Source organism: Homo sapiens, chromosome 1, assembly GCF_000001405.40.
Source record: "Homo sapiens chromosome 1, GRCh38.p14 Primary Assembly".
In the NCBI taxonomy this organism is placed as follows: domain Eukaryota; kingdom Metazoa; phylum Chordata; class Mammalia; order Primates; family Hominidae; genus Homo; species Homo sapiens.
This window is the reverse complement of record NC_000001.11, coordinates 113176858-113196017: the sequence shown is the minus strand read 5'-3', so window position 1 is coordinate 113196017 and position 19160 is coordinate 113176858. Positions and strand designations below refer to the sequence as shown.

Genomic DNA, 19160 nt, shown 5'->3' with positions numbered 1-19160 from the left:
AAGTGGCTGCTGGAGTATGAAATGTATTTGCTTCTCAGTCACCAGTACATTTAAACCACGGTCCTCCAAAGACTCTTGCTTGTCTAGAACATAGCCTACTCTCCTTACCCTAGAATTTTAGACTCTAATTCTTCAGCAGCGGAGACCCCTAGAGTCAGCCCCTTAGGAATCCAGACTTTTTCTTCTTGCTGGACCCAAGGCCGTGAAGAAAAATGTGTGTTGGACCCGGAAGTTCAGCTAACTCATGACAAGGAAGAAAATGGAAGCAGGAAGCCGGAAGGCCACTATCAGCCGGGCTAGACAAATAAAGATTCCTCAGCATAGCTGTGAAAGCCAGAATGAGTTGTAATTACTCTGTGCTTGGAAATGGTGTTTCCAGTGTGACCTTTCTACCTGCTCTTCTAACGGTGGAGCTGCTGTCACTGTTTATAAAGCCCAGACCTGGCTTTCCCTGATTGGAGCCAATTAGAATAACCCCAAGAGGGCAGCCAGGGCCGCTTCACTGCTAATGAGGGCAGCTGACGTGTTGGCGTCGGCTTATTTGCCCGGTGAAGAGGAGATGGGAAAGCTTATCCCGCCAAGCGGTCCCTTTCTTTCCCCTCCCAGTGCCTCCAATAAGTCTATTAACTATTCTGAGCACCAGCTTTCAAAAAAGGGATGAGATCTACTGGGGGAAGAGACTATTTCCTGGGTAATGAGGCCAAGCAACACTTTTCCTTACTCAGCATATATTTATTAAGCAACTACTATGTGCCAGGCGTGGTGCCAGGGGTCGCACATAATAATGAATACGATACAGGCAGAGGCAAATTTACCATGAAGTTAATGAAACTTAAGCTTTAGGGCTGCCCATTAGGACAAGTTCTGAAGGGGACCCTAGTAATGTGTTCGTGGCGGTCACGTTTTGTGAAACTTGCCAAAGTCAGCTATTTGAACCACACTCAGTTTAGACTGCTATCTCTTTCCCCTCAGACTTCCCCTCTGTCACACTCCCCTTCATGTTGCCCAGAACTGAAGTGGCCATGGACATTTTTGTGATCTGGCTAGGGGGAAGTTAAGTTGGGGATACAGTTGTTTTATGGGACATATTTAGGTGGTTTGCAGTCACTTTTATGTAGAGTTGGTTTTTGCTAGCCATCTCAGTGCAGAAATGGCTCCCAGAAACATGCTTACTGCCTGTGGTGCCAACTTATCTGGCATTATGACACTCAAATGCCGGGCCAAAGACCATATGAGATTTGCGAGTGTCCTATGCAACCTGGCCCTGGAAGCATGTGGGTAATGGAGGAGAAACAAGATTTGAACTGTATAGAGCCAAAAGCTAGTCTGTAGGAAATTCTTCCAATCATCGGATGTGTAAGATTGTAAGTGCAGAATCCAGTTCTCACTGATACCTAGTCATATGCATTAGGCATATATATATTGAGTAATGCGGCGATACAAGTACATGCTTTCCTTTTTTTCCCCTTTTTAAAATGACAAATATAATTTATCAGAATTCCTGTGTTCGTAGGATACAAACTGTAGCGGTCCTACAAACAAGTATGTCTGGCTGTGGTCACATGTGTTTATGCATCCCATCAATCATAAATATAATTTTTATTATGCCAGAGGACTTAATTCTCATTCCATTCTCTATATGGAAAATATTACAAAATCATTACATATGATGAGGCAATAAGAGTATTATTCAGCCAAAAAATGTGGAGAAAGACTTATTGCAGTGTGTTAGGCAGTTAACTAAGAAAAACATGATATTATTTTTCTATATTTTGTGATATTTGAAGTATTTTTCCACTTTAAAAGCTTTACAATTTATTTATTTTCCCAATCTACATAAAGGTCCACTTTCCTGCCTAATTTTGTTTCTGTAATTTTGTGTTTTTCTTAAAGAGAACCCTCGGCCGGGTGTGGTGGCTCATGCCTGTAATCCCAGCACTTTGGGAGGCCAAGTGGGGGGTGGATCACGAGGTCAGGAGTTCAAGACCTGCCTGGCCAAGATGGTGAAACCCATCTCTACTAAAAACACACAAAAATTAGCCGGGCACGGTGGCAGACACCTGTAATCCCAGTCACTTGGGAGGGTGAGGCAGAAGAATCGCTTGAACTCGGAGGGTGGAGGTTGCAGTGAGCCGAGATCGCGCCACTGCACTTCAGCCTGGTGACAGAGTGAGACTCCGTCTCAAAAAAATAAATAAATAAAACCTCAAATTGTCTAAGCTTCAGGCCCCACAAAACCTGAGTTCACCCCTGGAACATACAATTCTTTATTCCTTGTCATGGTCTAATGGGAGAACCCTATTGCCTCCCTCCTTTACCACATATGTAACCAGTGCCTGCTGCATGCCAGATTTCTGAGCTAGGGATGGGCACACTATCATGGATAAAACAGACCTGGCCCCTTCCCACGTGGAGAGAAGCAGACAGACATCAAATAAACGAAGTCATACAGGATGCTGTGGGAGAGAAAAGGGGTGGGGACCTCTTGCAGGAAATAATGTTTCAGCAGAGACTCAAAGAATATGTAAGAGTTACCCAGATGAAGAGTAGAAGGATGAACGTGCAAGTGGAAAGAACAGCATGAGAGAAGGCCCTGAGGTGGGAAGGGCTTGGTGCATTACAGGTACTCAGTAAATATCTATTGAATTAATTTTTTAAAATTATGATTTGGGCAGGGCCAGGGTGCTATGGGAGCATATAAGAATGGCACAGAACCCTTGCCTACCCCAACCAGCAACAAAGGAATGAGGAATGAGAAAGAGTTACGTTAGAATTGACTTCCTGACTTTCAGGAGGAGAAATAGCATGTGCAAAGGCCCTGGGGTCAGAGAGAGATCAGAGAGCAGTTCTGTATGGCTGGACCATAGTGGGATGGATTTGAGGAGGGGCATTTGTTGAGGGGAGAATGAGAATTGGCAAGAAATGAGGCTGGAAATGTAAACCAGAGCCAGATCATGAAGGGCCTCATAAGCCATGGTAAGCTGTGTAGATTTCATTTGGATGCTGTGGTGAGGTGGTGTTAGGGAAGGAAATCATAGGCTCAGGCCAGCACGTTGGAAAGATCTGGTTGCATGGTCAAGAGAGGACTGGATGGGCCGGGCGCGGTGGCTCACGCCTGTAATCCCAGCACTTTGGGAGGCTAAGGCAGGCGGATCACAAGGTCAGGAGATTGAGACCATCCTGGCTAACATAGTGAAACCCCATATCTATTAAAAATACAAAAATTAGCCAGGCGTGGTGGTGGGCCCCTGTAATCCCAGCTACTCAGGAGGCTGAGGCAGGAGAAAGGCGTGAACCCAGGAGGCGGAGCTTGTGGTGAGCCGAGATTGCACCACTGCACTCTAGTCTGGGTGACAGAGTGAGACTCCATCTCAAAAAAAAAAAAGAGGACTGGATGAGACGGCAAAGTTGTTAGAGAAATTCAGGCAAGAGAGGGTGGTGGCCACAGGTAGTGTGGCATGGGGAGAAAGAAGTAGACAGCTCCAAAGGGGAACATTGTGTACCTGATGGAGTTAGGTAGGCAAGATAAGAGTCACATCAGGGCAGACGCCAGGCTGGTGCATAGTTCCTCTTTCTTCCTGAAGCTAGCTAACCTCATGGGAGACAGGGTTCCTGGTTTACAATGGAGGGTGTTACAGGACTGCCTGCATCCTTGGCTACTGGTCACCATGCCCTGCTTATTTTCTGCTCACTCTGTCCTCTGACTTTTCACTGGGTTTGGCCAATGGGGAGCTCACAAATACTGCAGAGCAGAGGAACAGGGTCCCCCATAAGGACCTTGCCTCCCCATGAGGAGGCCCAAGGCTGGCTGTGCCCCTCAGTCTCTCTCAAGGTAACCTTGTCATCTCTACCTTCCTCTACATGACTTTTTTACTTCCTGGTTTCAATGTCCACTCCCTCCCCTTTCACTTGGGCCTGGGGTGGTATACAGCTCAGCTTACGGGCTGCAAAAACACCCCAACATCCCTTCTGGTTCCCACGACTTCACCCACACCTTTGTTAAATTCACCCTCCTTGAGTTACTCTAATGAGTGTGACATCTGTTTCCTGTTGGGACTCTGAGTCACACACTTCTGACACCAGGCTGAATTGTTCATAAAATAATTCCCAGTTCCTTTAAATCAGACCACACCCCCGCAAGCCCAACAGCCAATAAGGCAAGAACACACGCTCCAACCGTTTACCTGGTGTGCAATCAGGATCTTCGTACGCCTCCTTCCCCTGGTCAAGTTCTGCTCCTAGCCACCCAGATTTGAGTAGGGCTCAGATTCCCCAGCTGTGACCCTGGGGATTTTCCTAGCGCTGGGCACCGCCCACCACACTGCCCCACACAGGATGCCGCTGCCAGGTTCGGCGCCTTGGGCTAGGACAGGGTATGCAGGGACAAGGGAAGGTAGGTAGCCTCAAGGTTCCTTTTCACCAACCCTGCTGAGACCTGGGGATCCCATCATCAAGTGGCCACTGACCTCCCCTGAGAGGGCTGGAAAAACTTGCAAAATGGTTCTGACTCACTGTTCTCTAGGCTTTCTGCTGACCTGTGATCACCTGCGTGTCTGTCTGGGTGTGTATAAATGGGTCTGTGTCTGTGGTATTTTTGTCTGTTTTTCCCTCCCCAACTCCAGAATGTAAACACACTGAAGGAAGGGACTTGTCTTGTTCTCCACTGTATCCCAGTGCCCAGCCCAGTGCCTGGGACACAGTAGTTAGTGGATAAGTATTTGTTGACCAACAGACCAGTGACTGGTCTCTCATCATCTGTTTACAGTCTTCCCCCAGACAACATAGAGCTCCACCGATTAGATTTCCTAATTACATTCCTTTTCAGTCTTGCCTCCCTGAGATGAGCCTTGTCAGCATCGTGAATATTTCCAGCAACTCCTCAATCACACATTTATAGCTTTTTTATGGGATACTCCTACAACCTGATTAATGTCTTTATTGCCCTAAGCACTGACAAGTTTCCAGGGACTCGCACATGAAATTCAAAATAAAATTTTATAGCACATGAAATTCAAAATAAAATTTTATTTTTTGGTTTAACATGAAAGTTTATGCTAAAATTTTAAAAAGCAACTTTCTAGATTTTCTGCCTGCAAAATTGTGAATAAGCTCATTACAGCTGAACTTATCCTTCTTTCTCTCTGTTTGCTGGTGCCCTAGGCAACTGTTTGGTTTGTCTATCGGGCATTAGTTATTTTCATATACGAGTAATTCCATTACTAGTTTTTCACAAGCCAGAATGGAGTTCTTGGGAGCATGGAGACGACAGGGAAGAGTCAATGTCCCATTACCCCACATGTGTTGTTTTTCAACCTAGGCACTACTGGCTGGACATGGGACTAACCCGCTCATTGCAGGACATTTATCATTTCTGAGTTCCAGGCGCTAAATGCTGCTAGCATCCCCCAGTCATTGTAACAATTAACAACAAAAGGGCCTCCAAAATCTCCCTAAGGGAGCAGTTCTACCTCAGGTCAAGAAGCATCATTCCCGGCGTGGCTGAATGTAGGTTAAAAGAATGTTCTTTGAAAGGTCCTTCCTTACCCTGCATGTCTGGAATGCACACCCCTTTCTGTTCCTCCTCACTGATGGGACCCAGGTTCTATAAGACCATTCCTGGGCAATGGAGCCCACAACTTCTCTCTACTGTGAGTAAGAACAGTGTGATTAGTGCCACTCCTTAACATTTTGTCATGTGGCATGACTCTCATTATAACATCACCTTTCATGTTAATTAGCTCTCAGAACATTTCAAAATCTGCATGTGTGTCTCTCTGACTAAGTTATGAGCTCCCGGGGGCAGAAGCCATGTTTTATAACTCTTCACGTAGGAGAGAAGGTTGGTTTTAGGGGTGAAGTGACTCAGGAAGAGGTGTCTAGAAAGCAACTTGGAATTAGGGTCTGAAATCCAAGGGGAGGTTAGAGCTAGACACAGACTCGGGATGCAGCTGCCCACAGGGAGAGCTGAAATTATGGTAGGAGAAGGGATGACATCAGTTCAAGGACATCACTTTGAGAAATGACCACCTTTAGGATGTGGGAGGAAAATAAAATCCAATAAAGGAAAAGGCAGAATGGTAGGGTTGTGGGAAGTGATGGAATGTTGCTGCATCTCAGAAGGTGACAGGGAGGGGACTGGTTATCAGGACCAGAAGGAGGCAGGACTGAGGAGAGCCTGCCCTGTCTGCCAGCTGAGAAGCCGATGGCAACCTTTGGGACTCTCTCAGTAGAGTGGTAAGAATGGACAAGGCTGTGAAGGACTAAGAAGTGGGGAAACTATGGCAGAGAGTGCAGGTTTCAAGAATTGCAGAAGCGAAGACAAGACGGCAGTCATGTGAAAGGGCGACTTGGCACATAGGAGGCATTCCTAAATAGATCTGTTTGTATAAATGTGTTCTTGATACAAATATTTATTTTTATAAATATATGTTAATATTATAGGAGAGATGGAAACAGTGTTTGGGGACAGTGGGGGAAGGGGGAAGGGAGAAGCCACATTTGCAATGGAATTCTTAACAGAGATTGGCCAGGTCTGGGTAGCAGAGGATGGGTTCCCAGTCCAGGTGGAGGCCTTAGACTTGGAAGGAGAAAGGAAATTCGTGAGAGATGGGAATAAAGGCATGCAGGGAGAGTAAAGAAAAATGGATACTGGGGTGAAAGAATTGCTTCCTTGGCAATTTTACCAGAAACACAAAATGACTCTGGCCCTTCCACATTTATGTATTTAGGTGGCTTCCAGCACCTCCTGAGCCTCATACAGATTGCAGAAATTTTTTTACTGGATTAAAAAAGGCCTTCCCCTAGCATGTTATAGCTCTAGCCTGGACAGGGGGTTTGATGGCAGGCCCAGAAAAAGGGGTTGACACTACCAAAGTCTCCAGAAAACCAAAATGCCTCCTTCATTCCAAGCACAAAGGTCAGTAATAATCCACAGCCTGAATGCTAAGCGTAGATGAAAAAAAAAAAGCAACCTTAAACTATACTATGTGCACTCTTCCATTTTACAGCTCTGGCAAAAACAAGCAGGAGACAAATCCCATTTACAAGGACAGCAAAAGCTTGGTCTCCTACCTGACCCAAGCTCTCTCCATGCACCATAAATATTTCCATAGTCATAAATATTACTGATGAGGAAGCAGAAGGCTCTTAATTGGCTCCAAGTCATTTCATGGTGGAGGAAGCTGGGGAAATGCACTGAATAAAAATAAGACAAAGTGAGGGATCTCCCTGGAGGAAATTAAAATCTAATCTATCTCTGATCATGCTATATCTAAAGAACTAACTGGAGATCTTACAGTATAAGGAGCATCCTCTCCCACCAGCTCAGTGTTTTTTCTCAGGGTTGCCAATTCACTTCTGGTTGAGTTCCATGGCAGTTGATATTGTTCATGATGATCCACTATAAGGAAAGAAGGAAGGTAACCAGTATTTATTAAAAATGAATAGCAAGATAATGGCCAAACAAATGGTGCTATGTTCATACAATAGAATACTAATCAGCAATAAAAAAAAAATGGACCACTAATCACATGAGTTTCAAAAACATGCTGAGTGAAAGGAGCCTTACATAAGAGTACAGACTATATCATGAAAAGTAAGTTCACTGCACACTGCTTGTCTGAGTCTGGTAAGACAGAAGAGCCACACATATGAGTTACATGAAGTGGGTTTATTCCTTACAGATAAGCAGCAAGGGATAACAGAAGCCTAGGATTCGTTGTGACCCAGTCCCGCAAGGCTCAGAAAACTGCCTGGGGTGGATGAGTTTGACTGTGAATACCTCACTTGCACTGCAGCTGAAGGCGGCAAGCAGCGTGCTCTGGGTTTTAGACCCAGGGGTACTGTAACACACTGGGCTAGAGTATTGAAGGAATCCTGTTTCTGGGTAGTGGGGAACAGGCACAAAGCCCAGGTTGTTCTGGCCAGCTTCCCCTTATCTCAAGATGTTGCATTTCCAGCATATTCTACGGTTATCCTTGAGCACTACAAGCAAGAAAAGGGGAATAACTGGCTCAGTCTGAGGCCACCTGCACAACTGTCCTGCATGTGATCCTACTTATATGACGTTCTATAATAAGTACTTTATAGAGGGAAAAAGAATTGGAACAGTGGTCACTTCTAGGGTGAAAGAGGAAAGGACTGGGAAGGATCATGAGGGAACATTCTTTCTTTTTTCCTTTTTACCCAGTCTAGGACATCTTGCTATAGCAGCATGAGGGAACTTTCGGTGGTGATACAAATGTATATGCATGAGGGAACTTTCGGTGGTGATACAAATGTATATATCTCGATGGGTGTTTGGATTACACAGGTGTTTACACTTGTCAAAACTCGGCAAATGTATTCTTAAGATTCATGCATTTCATTGTATCTAAAGTTTACATCAAATGAAAAAGCTAACCAAATACTGAACTCTAGTTTGATATGCATGCTGAAGTATTTAGGGGAAAACGTACTGACGCCTGCAATCTACTTTAAAATGAATCACTAAAATAAGATAGATTAATGGGTAGATAGAAGAATGGAGAGATGGATAGATAAGTGAAGAAGCAATTTTAGTAAAATGCTAATGGTAGAATCTAGGTGGTTAGTGTATAGCTATTCATGGTAAAATTCTTTCTACTTTGCTATGTGTTTGAAAATTTTTACAATAAAATGGAAACAAATGAGTGATGTGATTTTTGAAAAATAGCAACCATTTATTGGGTGCCTATGTATACCAAATGCCTTACATACATTTTCCCAATCCTTGTATTTTCCTGATTTTACAGACCAGAAGGTCAACATTCAGAGAGACTAAGTGACTTGCTCAGAGATGCACTGCTGTAAACAGCAAAGCTAGATTTGCTTGGTTTGTTATATGAATAGAATGTGTAATGATCAAGTCAGGGCATTTGGGATATCCATCACCTTGAGGATTAATCCTTTTTTTATTTTATTTTTATTTTTTTTTAAGACGATGTCTCGCTCTGTCACCCAGGTTGGGGTGCAGTGGCGCAATCTTGGCTCACTGCAACCTCCACCTCCCTGATTCAAGCGATTCTGCTGCCTCAGCCTCCCAAGTAGCTGGGATTACAGGTGCGTGCCATCACGCCCAGCTAATTTTTGTATTTTTTGTAATAGTGAGACAGGGTGTCACCATGTTGGCCAGGCTGATCTGGAACGCCTGACTTCAGGTGATCCGCCCACCTTGGCCTCCCAATATTCTGGGTTTACAGGTGTGAGCCACCATTCCTGGCCTAGCATTAATCATTTCTAGGCGTTAAGAACATTTCAAGTCCTCTCTTCTAGCTACTTTCAAGTATTTAATATATAACACATTGTTGCTAATTACTCTTCTCTGTCATGGAACATTGTAACTGATAACTTCTATCTAATGGTATGTTTGTACCTTTTAACCGACCTCTCTTCTTACCCCTCCCACCCGCATGCCCTTCCTTGCCTCTGGTATCCATCATTCTGCCTTCCACCTCCATGAGATCAACTTTTTTAGCTCCCACATGAGTCAGAACATATGATATCTGTCTTTTTGTGCCTGTCTTATTTCACATAACATCATGACCTCTAGTTCCATCCGTGTTGCTGCAAATGACAGGATTTCATTCTTTTTATGGCGGAGTAGTATTCCACTGTGTATATATACCACATTTTCTTTATCCATTCGTCTGCTCATGGACACTTAGGTTGATTCCATATCTATGCTATTGTGAATAGTGCTGCAATAAACATGTTTGTGCAGGTAACCCTCTGATACACTGATTTATTTTCCTTTGGATAAATACCCGGTAATGGGATTGCTGGATCATATGGTAGTTCTACTTTTAGTTTTTTAATTTAATTTAACTTAATTTTTTTTGTACTGACAGGGTCTCCCTATGTTGCCTGGGCTGGTCTCCAACTCCTGGACTCAAGTGATCCTCCCACTTCAGCCTCCCAAAGTGCTGGGATTATAGGCATGATTATAGGCCATCACACCCAGCCCATTTCTAGTTTTTTGAGACATATCAATACTGTTTCTCATAATGACTATACTAATTTACATACCTACCAACAGTGTATAAGAGTTCTCTTTTCTCCACATCCTCAGCAGCATCTGCTACTTTTTCTAATAATAGCCATTCTAACTGGGGTAAGATGATATCTCACTGTGGTTTGATTTGCATTTCTCTGATGATTAGTAATGTTGAGCATTTTTTCATATACCTGTTGGCCCCTTGTACATCTTTTGAGAAATGTCTATTCATGTCCTTTGCCTACCTTTTAATGAGATTATTTGTTTTTGTTTTTACTGTTGAGTTGTTTGAGTTCCTTGTGTATTCTGGATATTAGTCTCTTGTTGGATGAATAGCTTGCAAATACGTTCTCCCATTCAACAGGTGGTCTCTTCACTCTGTTGATGGTTTCCTTTGCTGTGCAGAATCTCTTTGGTTTAACGTAGTCCCATTTGTATATTTTGTCTGTGTTTTTGAGGTCTTGGCCATAAAATCTTTGCTAGACCAACATCCTGAAGTGTTTTCCCTGTATTTTCTTCTGATAGTTTTATAATTTGAAGTCTTACATTGAAGTCTTTAATTTTTGTATATGGTGAGAGTTAGGAGTGAAATTTCATTCTTCTGCATATAAATATCCAATTTTCTCAGCATCATTTATTGAAGAGGGTGTCCTTTCCTCAGTGTATATTACTGGCACTTTTGTCAAAAATCAGTTGGCTGTAAATACTTGAATGTATTTCTGGATTCTCTGTTCCATTGTCTATGTGTCTCTTTTTATACTAATACCATGCTGTTCTGGTTGTTATAGCCTTGTAATATATTTTGAAGTCAGATACTGTGATGCCTCCAGTTTTGTTCTTTTTGCTCAGGATTGCTTTGGCTATTCAGGCTTTTTTTTTTTTTTTTTTGGTTCCATATGAATTTTAGGATTGTTCATTCTAATTCTGGAAAATTGATGTTGGTATTTTGACAAGAATTGCAGTGAATCTGTAGATTTACTTGAGAAGTATAGTCATTTTAGTGATATTAATTCTTCCAATCCATGCACATGGGATGTCTTACCCTTTGTTTGTGTGCTTTTCAATTTCTTTTTTGTTTTTGGCTTTTTTCTCAACTTTTATATACAGGGGTCCGTATGCAGGTTTGTTACAAAGGTATATTGTGTGCTGCTGAGGTTTGGAGTACAATTGAAGCTTGTCACCCAGGTATCAAGCATATTACTCAATACATAGTTTTTCAGCCTTTGCCTCCCTCCCTCTCTCCCCAATCTAGTAGTCCCCAGTGTCTATTGTTCCCATCTTTATGTCCATGTGTACCCAATGTTTAGCTCCCACTTATAGACAAGAACATGCAGTATTTGATTTTCTCTTTCTGCATTAGTTCACTCAGGATAATGGCCTCCAGCTCCATCCATCTTGCTACAAAAGACATAATTTTGTTATTTCTTCTTCTTCTTCTTCTTTTGTTTACCTCTTTTTTACTTTTTTTATTTTTAATTTTTGTGATACATAGTAGGCATATATATTTATGGGGTACATAGATATTTTGGTACAGGCATGCAATACATAATAATCACATCATTGAAAATTTGGTATCTGTCCCCTCAAGCATTTATCCTTTGTGTTACAAACAATCCAGTTACACTCTTTTGGTTATTTTCAAGTGTACAAGTAAATTATTATTGACTAATAGTTCCCCTATTGTGCTATCAAATCATTCTTTCTTGTGGCTGTGTAGTATTCCACAGTGTATATTTACCACATTTTCTTTAACCAGTCCACCATTGATGGACATCTGGGTTGATTCCATGTCTTTGCTATTATGAATATGTCTGCAGTGAACATATGCGTGCATGTGTCTTTTTGGTAGAACTATTTATTTTCCCTTGGGTATGTACCCAGTAATGAGATTGCTGGATTGAATAATAGTTCTATTTTTAATTCTTTGAGAAATCTCCAAACTTCTTTCCACAGTGACTGAACTAATTTACATTCCTACCAACAGTGTACAAGCATTCCCTTTTCTCTGCAGCACCACCAAAATCTGTTATTTTTTTACTTTTTAATAAAAGCCACTCTGACTGATGTGAGATGGTATATCATTGCGGCTTTGATTTGCATTTCTCTGATGATTAGTGATGATGAGCATTTTTTAATATGTCTGTTGGCCATGTGTATGTCTTCTTTTAAGAAGTGCCTGTTCATGTCCTTTGCCCACTTTTCAGTGGGGTTATTTGCTTTTTGCTTGTTGATTTGTTTAAGTTCCCATTAGATTCTGGATATTAGATTTTTGTTGGATGCATAGTTTGCAAATAATTTCTCCTATTTTGTAGGTTGTCTGTTTACTCTGTTGAAAGTTTCTTTTGCTGTGCAGATGCTCTTTAACTAGGTCCCACTTATCAATTTTTGTTTTTGTTGTGATTGCTTTTGAGGACTTAGCCATACATTATTTGCCAAGACCAGTGTTGAGAAGGATATTTCCTAGGTTTCCTTCTAGGATTTTTATAGTTTGAGGTCTCACATTTAAGTCTTTAATCCATCATAAGTTAATTTTTGTATATGGTGATGGGTAGAGGTCCAGTTTCATTCTTTGCATATGGATAGCCAGTTATCCCAAAACCATTTATTGAATAGGGAGTCCTTTCACCATTGCTTGTTTTTGTTGACTTTGTTGAAGAGCTGATGGCTGTAGGTGTGCAGCTTTATTTCTGGGTTCTCTATTCTGTTCCATTGGTCTATGTGTCTGTTTTCGTACCAGTACCATGCTGTTTTGGTTACTGTAGCCTTGTAGTATATTACCTTGAAGTCAGGTAATATGATGCCTCTGGCTTTGTTCCTTTTGCTTTGGATTGCTTTGGCTATTCAGGCTCTTTTTTTGGTTCCATATGAACGTTAGAATACGGTTTTCTAATTCTGTGAAAAATGATGTTGGTAGTTTGATAGGAATAGTGTTGAATCTATAAATTGCTTTGGGCAGTATGACCATTTTAATGATCTTGATTCTTCCGATCCATGAGCATGAAATGTTTTTGTATTTGTTTGTATCATCTCTGATTTCTTTCAGCGGTGTTTAATAGCTCTCTTTGTAAAGATCTTTCACCTCCTTGGCTAGATATATTTTGGTGTATTTTTTGTGGCTATTGTAAATGGGATTGCATTCTTGATTTGGCTCTTAGCTTAAACATTATTGGTATATAGAGTACTACTGATTTTTAGGCCAGGTGCAGTGGCTCACGCCTGTAATCTCAGCACTTCAGGAGGCCAAGATGGGTGAATCACTTGAGGTCAGGAGTTTGAGACCAGCTTGACCAACATGGCGAAACCCTGTCTCTACAAAAAATACAAAAATTAGCTGGGCATGGTGGTGGGCACCTTTAATCTCAGTTTCTCAGGAGGCTGAGGCAGGAGGATCACCTGAACCTGGGGGGCAGAGTTTGCAGTAAGCCGAGATCACACCACTGCACTCCAGCCTGGGTGACAGAGTGAGACTCCATCAAAAAAATAATAATAATACTGATTTTTTTTGTACATTGATTTAAAGTATCCTAAAACTTTACTGAAGAGGTTTATTAGTTCTAGGAGCCTTTTGGTGGAGCCTTTAGGGTTTTCTAGGTATAAGATCATATCATCGGTAAAGAGAGATGGGTTGGATTTCTTTTCCTAGTTGGATGCCTTTTATTTCTTTCTCTTGCGTGATTGGTCTGGTTAGGACTTTCAGTACTATGTGGTGAGAGTGGGCATCTTTGTCTTGTTCCAGTTCTCAAGGGGAATGCTTCCAGCTTTTGTGCATTCAGTATGATGTTGGCCATGGGTTTGTCATAAATGGCTCTTATTATCTTGTGGTGTGTTCCTTCAGTGCCTAGTTTGTTGAGAGTTTTTATCATAAAAGGGTGCTGGATCTTATCAAAAGCTTTTTGTGTCCATTGAGATGATCATATGGTTTTTGTTTTTAATTCTGTTTATGTGGTGGATCACATTTATTGATTTGTGTATATTGAACCAAACTTGCATCCCAGGAATAAAACCTATTTGATTGTGGTGAATTAACTTTTTGATGTGCTGCTGGATTCGGTTTGCTAGTATTTTGTTAAGGATTTTTGAATCTATGTTCCTCAGGGATATTGGCCTGTAGTTTTATTTTCTCATTGTGTCATTGCCAGATTTTGGTATCAGGATGATGCTGGCTTCATAGAATGAGTTAGGGAGGAGTCCCTCCTCCTTGATTTTTTGGAATAGTTTCTGTAGGATTGGTACCAGCTCTTCTTTGTATGTCTGGTAGAATTCAGCTGTGAATCCATCTGGTGCAGGGCTTTTTTTGGTTGGTAGGTTTTTATTACTGCTTCAATTTTGGAACTCAATATCGGCCTGTTCCAGTTTCTTCCTGGTTCAATCTTGGGAGGTTGTGTATTTCCAGGAATTTATTCATTTCTTCTATATTTTCTAGATTGTTTGCATAGAGGTGTTCAAATAGTCTCTGAAGATCTTTTGTATTTCTGTGGGATTGGTTGTAATGTCATCTTTGTAATTTCTGATTTTCCTTTTTTTAATCTTGTCTCTTTTTTTTCATTGTTAATCTAGCTGGTGGTCTATCAATCTTGTTTATCCTTTCAAAAAACAAACTTTTGGTTTTGTTGGTCCTTTGTATGAATTTTTTTCACCTCAGTTTCATTCAGTTCTGCTCTGATTTAGTTCTGTCTTTTCTTCTGTTTGCTTTGGGGTTAGTTTGTTCTTGTTTTCTAGTTCCTCTAGGTACAATATTAGACTGTTAACCTGAGATCTTTCTAACTTCTTGATGTAGTCATTTAGTGCTATAAACTTTCCTTTTAATGCTACTTTTACTGCATCTCAGTGACTTTGGTGTGTTATGTCTCTGTTTTTATTAATTTCAAAGAATTTTTTTATTTCTGCCTTGATTTCATTATCTGTCATTCAGGAGTAAGTTGTTTAATTTCCATGTGGTTGTGTGGTTCTGAGATATCTTCTTGGTATTGAGTTCTATTTTTATTCTACCATGGTTTGAGAGTATGCTCGGTATGATTTACATTTCTTAAAATTTATTGAGACTTGCTTTATGGCTGACCATGTGGTCAGTCTTAGAGTATGGCTGATGTGCATATGAGGAGAATGTATATTCTATGGTTGTTGGTGGAGTATTCTATAGATGTCTGTTAGGTCCAATTGATCAAGAGTTGAGTTTAAATCCAGAATTTCTTTGTTAGTTTTCTACTTCAGTGATCTGTCTAATACTGTCATTGGGGTGTAGAAGTCCCCCACCATTATTATCTGACTGTCTAAGTCTTTTTGTAGGTTTAGAAGTACTTGTTTTATGAATCTGGGTGCTCCAATGTTGGGTGCATATACACTGAGGATAGTTAAGTTTTCTTGTTGAATTAAACTTTTTATCATTATGTAATGCCCTTCTTTGTCTCTTTAACTGTCGTTGATTTAAAGTCTGTTTTATATGATATAAGAATAATGACCCCTGTTATTTTTTGTTTTCTGTTTGCGTGATAGATCCCTTTACTTTGATCCTGCGGGTGTCATTACATGTGAGACACCCTCTTGAAAAGAGCAGACAGTTGAGTCTTATTTTTTTATCCAACTTGCCACTCCGTGCCTTTTAAGTGGGGTGTTTAGACCATTTACATTCAATATTAATATTGATATTTGAGGTTTTGATCCTGTCATCATGCTGTTAGCTGTTGTTTGGTAAACTTGATTGTGTAGTTAATTGCTTTATAGGGTCTATGGGCTATGTCTTTAAGTGTGCTTTGTGGTAGTAGGTATCATTCTTTCATTTCCTTGTTTAGAACTCCCTTAAAGACCTAAAATTCCTTTAATGTTTGCTTCTCTGGAAAAGATTTTATTTCTCCTTTGCTTATGAAGCTTAGATTGGCAGAATATAAAATTCTTGATGGGAATTTCTTTTCTTTAAGGATGCTGAAAATAATCCCCCAATTTCTTTTGACTTGCAAGGTTTCTGCTGAGAAGTTCGCTGTTAGCCTGTTAGCATTCCCTTTTGTACATGATCTGCCTCTTCTCTATAGTTGTCTTTAAGGTTTTTTTTTTTTTTTTTTTGGAGACAGAGTCTCACTCTGTCACCCAGGCTGGAGTGCAGTGGCACTATCTTGGCTCACTGCAAGCTCTGCCTCCCAGGTTCACGCCATTCTCCTGCCTCAGCCTTCCGAGTAGCTGGGACTACAGGTGCCCGCCACCACGCCTGGCTAATTTTTTGTATTTTTAGTAGAGACGGGGTTTCACCGTGTTACCCAGGATGGTCTCGATCTCCTGACCTCGTGATCTGCCTGCCTCAGCCTCCCAAAGTGCTGGGATTACAGGCGTGAGCCACCATGCCCGGCCTAAGGTATTTTTCTTTCACATTGGAAGGTACAATGACTATGTGTCTTAGGGATGGTCATCTTGCATAGTATTTCACAGGGGTTCTCTGAATTTCTTGAAGTTCATGTCAACCTCTCTAGCAAGGTTGGGGAGAGAAATTTTCATGGACCGTATCCTCAAACGTTTTCTGAGTTGCTTATTCTCTCTTTTTCTCTCTCAGAAATGCCAATGAGTTGTAGGTTTGGTCTCTTTACATAATCTGACGTTTCTCAGTTGTTTTGTTCATTTTGTAAAATTATTTTTGCTTTATTTTTGTCTGACTGGGTTGATCCAAAGCACTGGTCCTCAAGCTCTGAGATTCTTTCCTCAGCTTGGTCTAATCTGTTGTTCATGCCTCTAGCTGAATTTTGAAATTCCTATAGTGAATTTTTCTATTCCAGAAGTTCAGTTTGGTTCTTTCTTAAAATGGCTATTTCAACTCTTGTATCACTTTATTGGCTTCATTGGATTGGGTTTCAACTTTCTCCTGAGTACCACTGAGTTTCTTTGCCATCCAGGTTCTGAATTCTGTATCTGTCAATTCAGCCACATTTCAATCTGGGTAGGGTTCATTGCTGGGGAGCCAGTGCAACCATTTGGAGGTAAGGAAACACTCCTTCTTCTTGATTGCTGGAGTTCTTGTGTTGATTTTTCCTTATCTGAGAGAGCTGGTGTTTATCCTTTTGAAGTTGCTGTTATTTGGATGGGGCTTTTTGTTTTTATATGCTTTTGTTCTCTTGAGGCTTTGACTGTGGTGTGTATTGTGTATAGTTGATTGGCTTCATTTCTGAGTGTTTTCAGAGGGCCAAGGCTCTGTATGGGTTATTGAGTTGTGACTAGATTCCTGTACTGGGTTTCATAGTCAATGTATGCTAAAGGAATTTTTGATTGGTGGTATAATTCAGGCTGCATTCCAGTAGATGGAGCTTAAGAGTAAGGGCCAGCAAATAGGCTGTCACTCAGCTATGTGCCTCTTTTATATTTCAGGGCATTCACAGCAGTGCTTTGTGGAGGGAGAGATGTCGGGCGTGAGAGACGACCCCAAGTTTGCTCCTAGGCCTTGGAGGAGCACCCTCTAATCATTGGCATCATGCCTGCATTTCCTTAGCCCCAAAAGGGCCCCTGGGAGGCTACACTCCCACCTCCCTTGGGTGGCCAGAGTCAATGGTTAGGTTGTCAGGAGACCCACAGCTCCCCTGAGATCCACTGGTCCTCTGTGTTTGACATAGTCAGAGTGAGTTATGGAGTATGTCTGCGGATGGTCTGTAGATGCAGTGGGTCAAGATTGGAGGATCCTCAGGGCAGTGTTGTCATGGGTGCACAGCTGGTGCAGCACCCATGACTCATGACTGGGGGGTTTTGCTCAGCAGAAAACTGTGGGGACTACCCAGCTTGTGCTCCCCTGACTGAATCTCCTTCCGGTGTCTGCCCCCGTAGCAGGCCCAAACAGCTAGTTTTGTTCCAAGCCTTCTGTGCCCAGATTGCTGGGGTGTTAGGTGTTCTGGGCTTAGGGGCTCCCTTGGGCAGAGGCTGTGGGCTGTTAAACAGGGTACACCCTTCCCAGACTGATTTTTGTGGAGGGAGGCATGCCCAAATCCCACACTAGTACATGAACCTGCACCTCACTCTTCTGAGGTGTTCTGAGAGTGGGGGCTCCTCACCTGCTTGAGCTCAGGCCACAGATCTGAGCTCGATACCCCTGAGCTATGTGCTCAAACCCTGGGGAGTTGGGACCTGCCCCATGGCTTTGTCCTTTGGCCCCTTGGGGTTGAGCACTGGCTGTGCTGAGGAATGGGGGAGGCTGAATCTTTCCCAGGCCACCAGCAAAGCAATCAGGTGGGGCAAGTGTGTGCACGCTCTTGCACAAGCAGCCAGGCAGGGGCCTTAGGAGGAGCCAGTGGATAGGGGGGTGTGCAGATCAGATGCACCCTAGTACTGCAGGAAAGACAGCTCTGCTCTCTCCCAGCCTGGCAGTCAGCAAGGGCTAGAGTCACTCAGAGCAAAATGGAGAGCCTTGGAGGATGGACACCTATGGTCACATTTTGCTGCAGTTGTCCCCCATGCAAAACCTTTTGGGCTTAGCACAGGTTCGAGTTCTGCCTCTGCCTACTTTCCAGGCAGTTCCCCTGCAAATTAAAATGTCTATGGGGGTCATGGGATCTCTTGTAGCTGAATCTCTTCCTTAGGACCTGCTTAGGGCCAGGAGCTGGTCCTGGTGCTCAGCAACTCTATGAAGTATTCCCAGCTTCCACCCTGTTCAACCTTATTGTCGGTGTTGCCTCTCTATTGACTTTCTGTATTTTCTCTCAAAAGATCTGTTTGAAATGTGTTGGATTAGTCAATTTTTGGTTTCTCTCAGTGGGAGAGGCATTTCCTGGCTGCATCTAGTCAGCTATCTTGTTCTTCTCAATCCTTTTCAATTTCTTTCATCAGTATTTTGTAGTTTTCCTCGTAGAGATCTTTCGCTTTCTTGGTTAAATGTATTTCTAGGTATTTTTTTAAATTTATTTTTGTAGCTATCATAAATAGAATTGCCTTCTTGATTTCTTCCTTGGCTAGTTCATTAATGTTGTATAGAAATGCTGCTGATTCTTGTGTGTTGATTTTGTATCCTGCAACTTTACTGATTTATCATATCTAAGAGTTTTTTGATGGAGTCTTTATGTTTTTCTAGGTATAAGATCATAGCTTTAGAAAAGAAGGACAATTTGACTTCCCTTTTCCAATTTGGGTGCCTTTTATTTCTTTCTCTTGCCTGATTGCTCTGGCTAGGACTTTCACTCCTATGCTG

The 19160-nt window shown here is 41.9% G+C and overlaps 3 annotated features.

Moving 5' to 3' along the window:
• Positions 3694–3803: an enhancer, noted in NCBI's record as "active region_1531". NCBI's record gives its function as "activates an Ori minimal core promoter by ATAC-STARR-seq in GM12878 lymphoblastoid cells {active_cell/tissue: GM12878}" and the evidence as "EXISTENCE:reporter gene assay evidence [ECO:0000049][PMID:35858748]".
• Positions 17630–17829: an enhancer, noted in NCBI's record as "active region_1530". NCBI's record gives its function as "activates an Ori minimal core promoter by ATAC-STARR-seq in GM12878 lymphoblastoid cells {active_cell/tissue: GM12878}" and the evidence as "EXISTENCE:reporter gene assay evidence [ECO:0000049][PMID:35858748]".
• Positions 17910–17989: an enhancer, noted in NCBI's record as "active region_1529". NCBI's record gives its function as "activates an Ori minimal core promoter by ATAC-STARR-seq in GM12878 lymphoblastoid cells {active_cell/tissue: GM12878}" and the evidence as "EXISTENCE:reporter gene assay evidence [ECO:0000049][PMID:35858748]".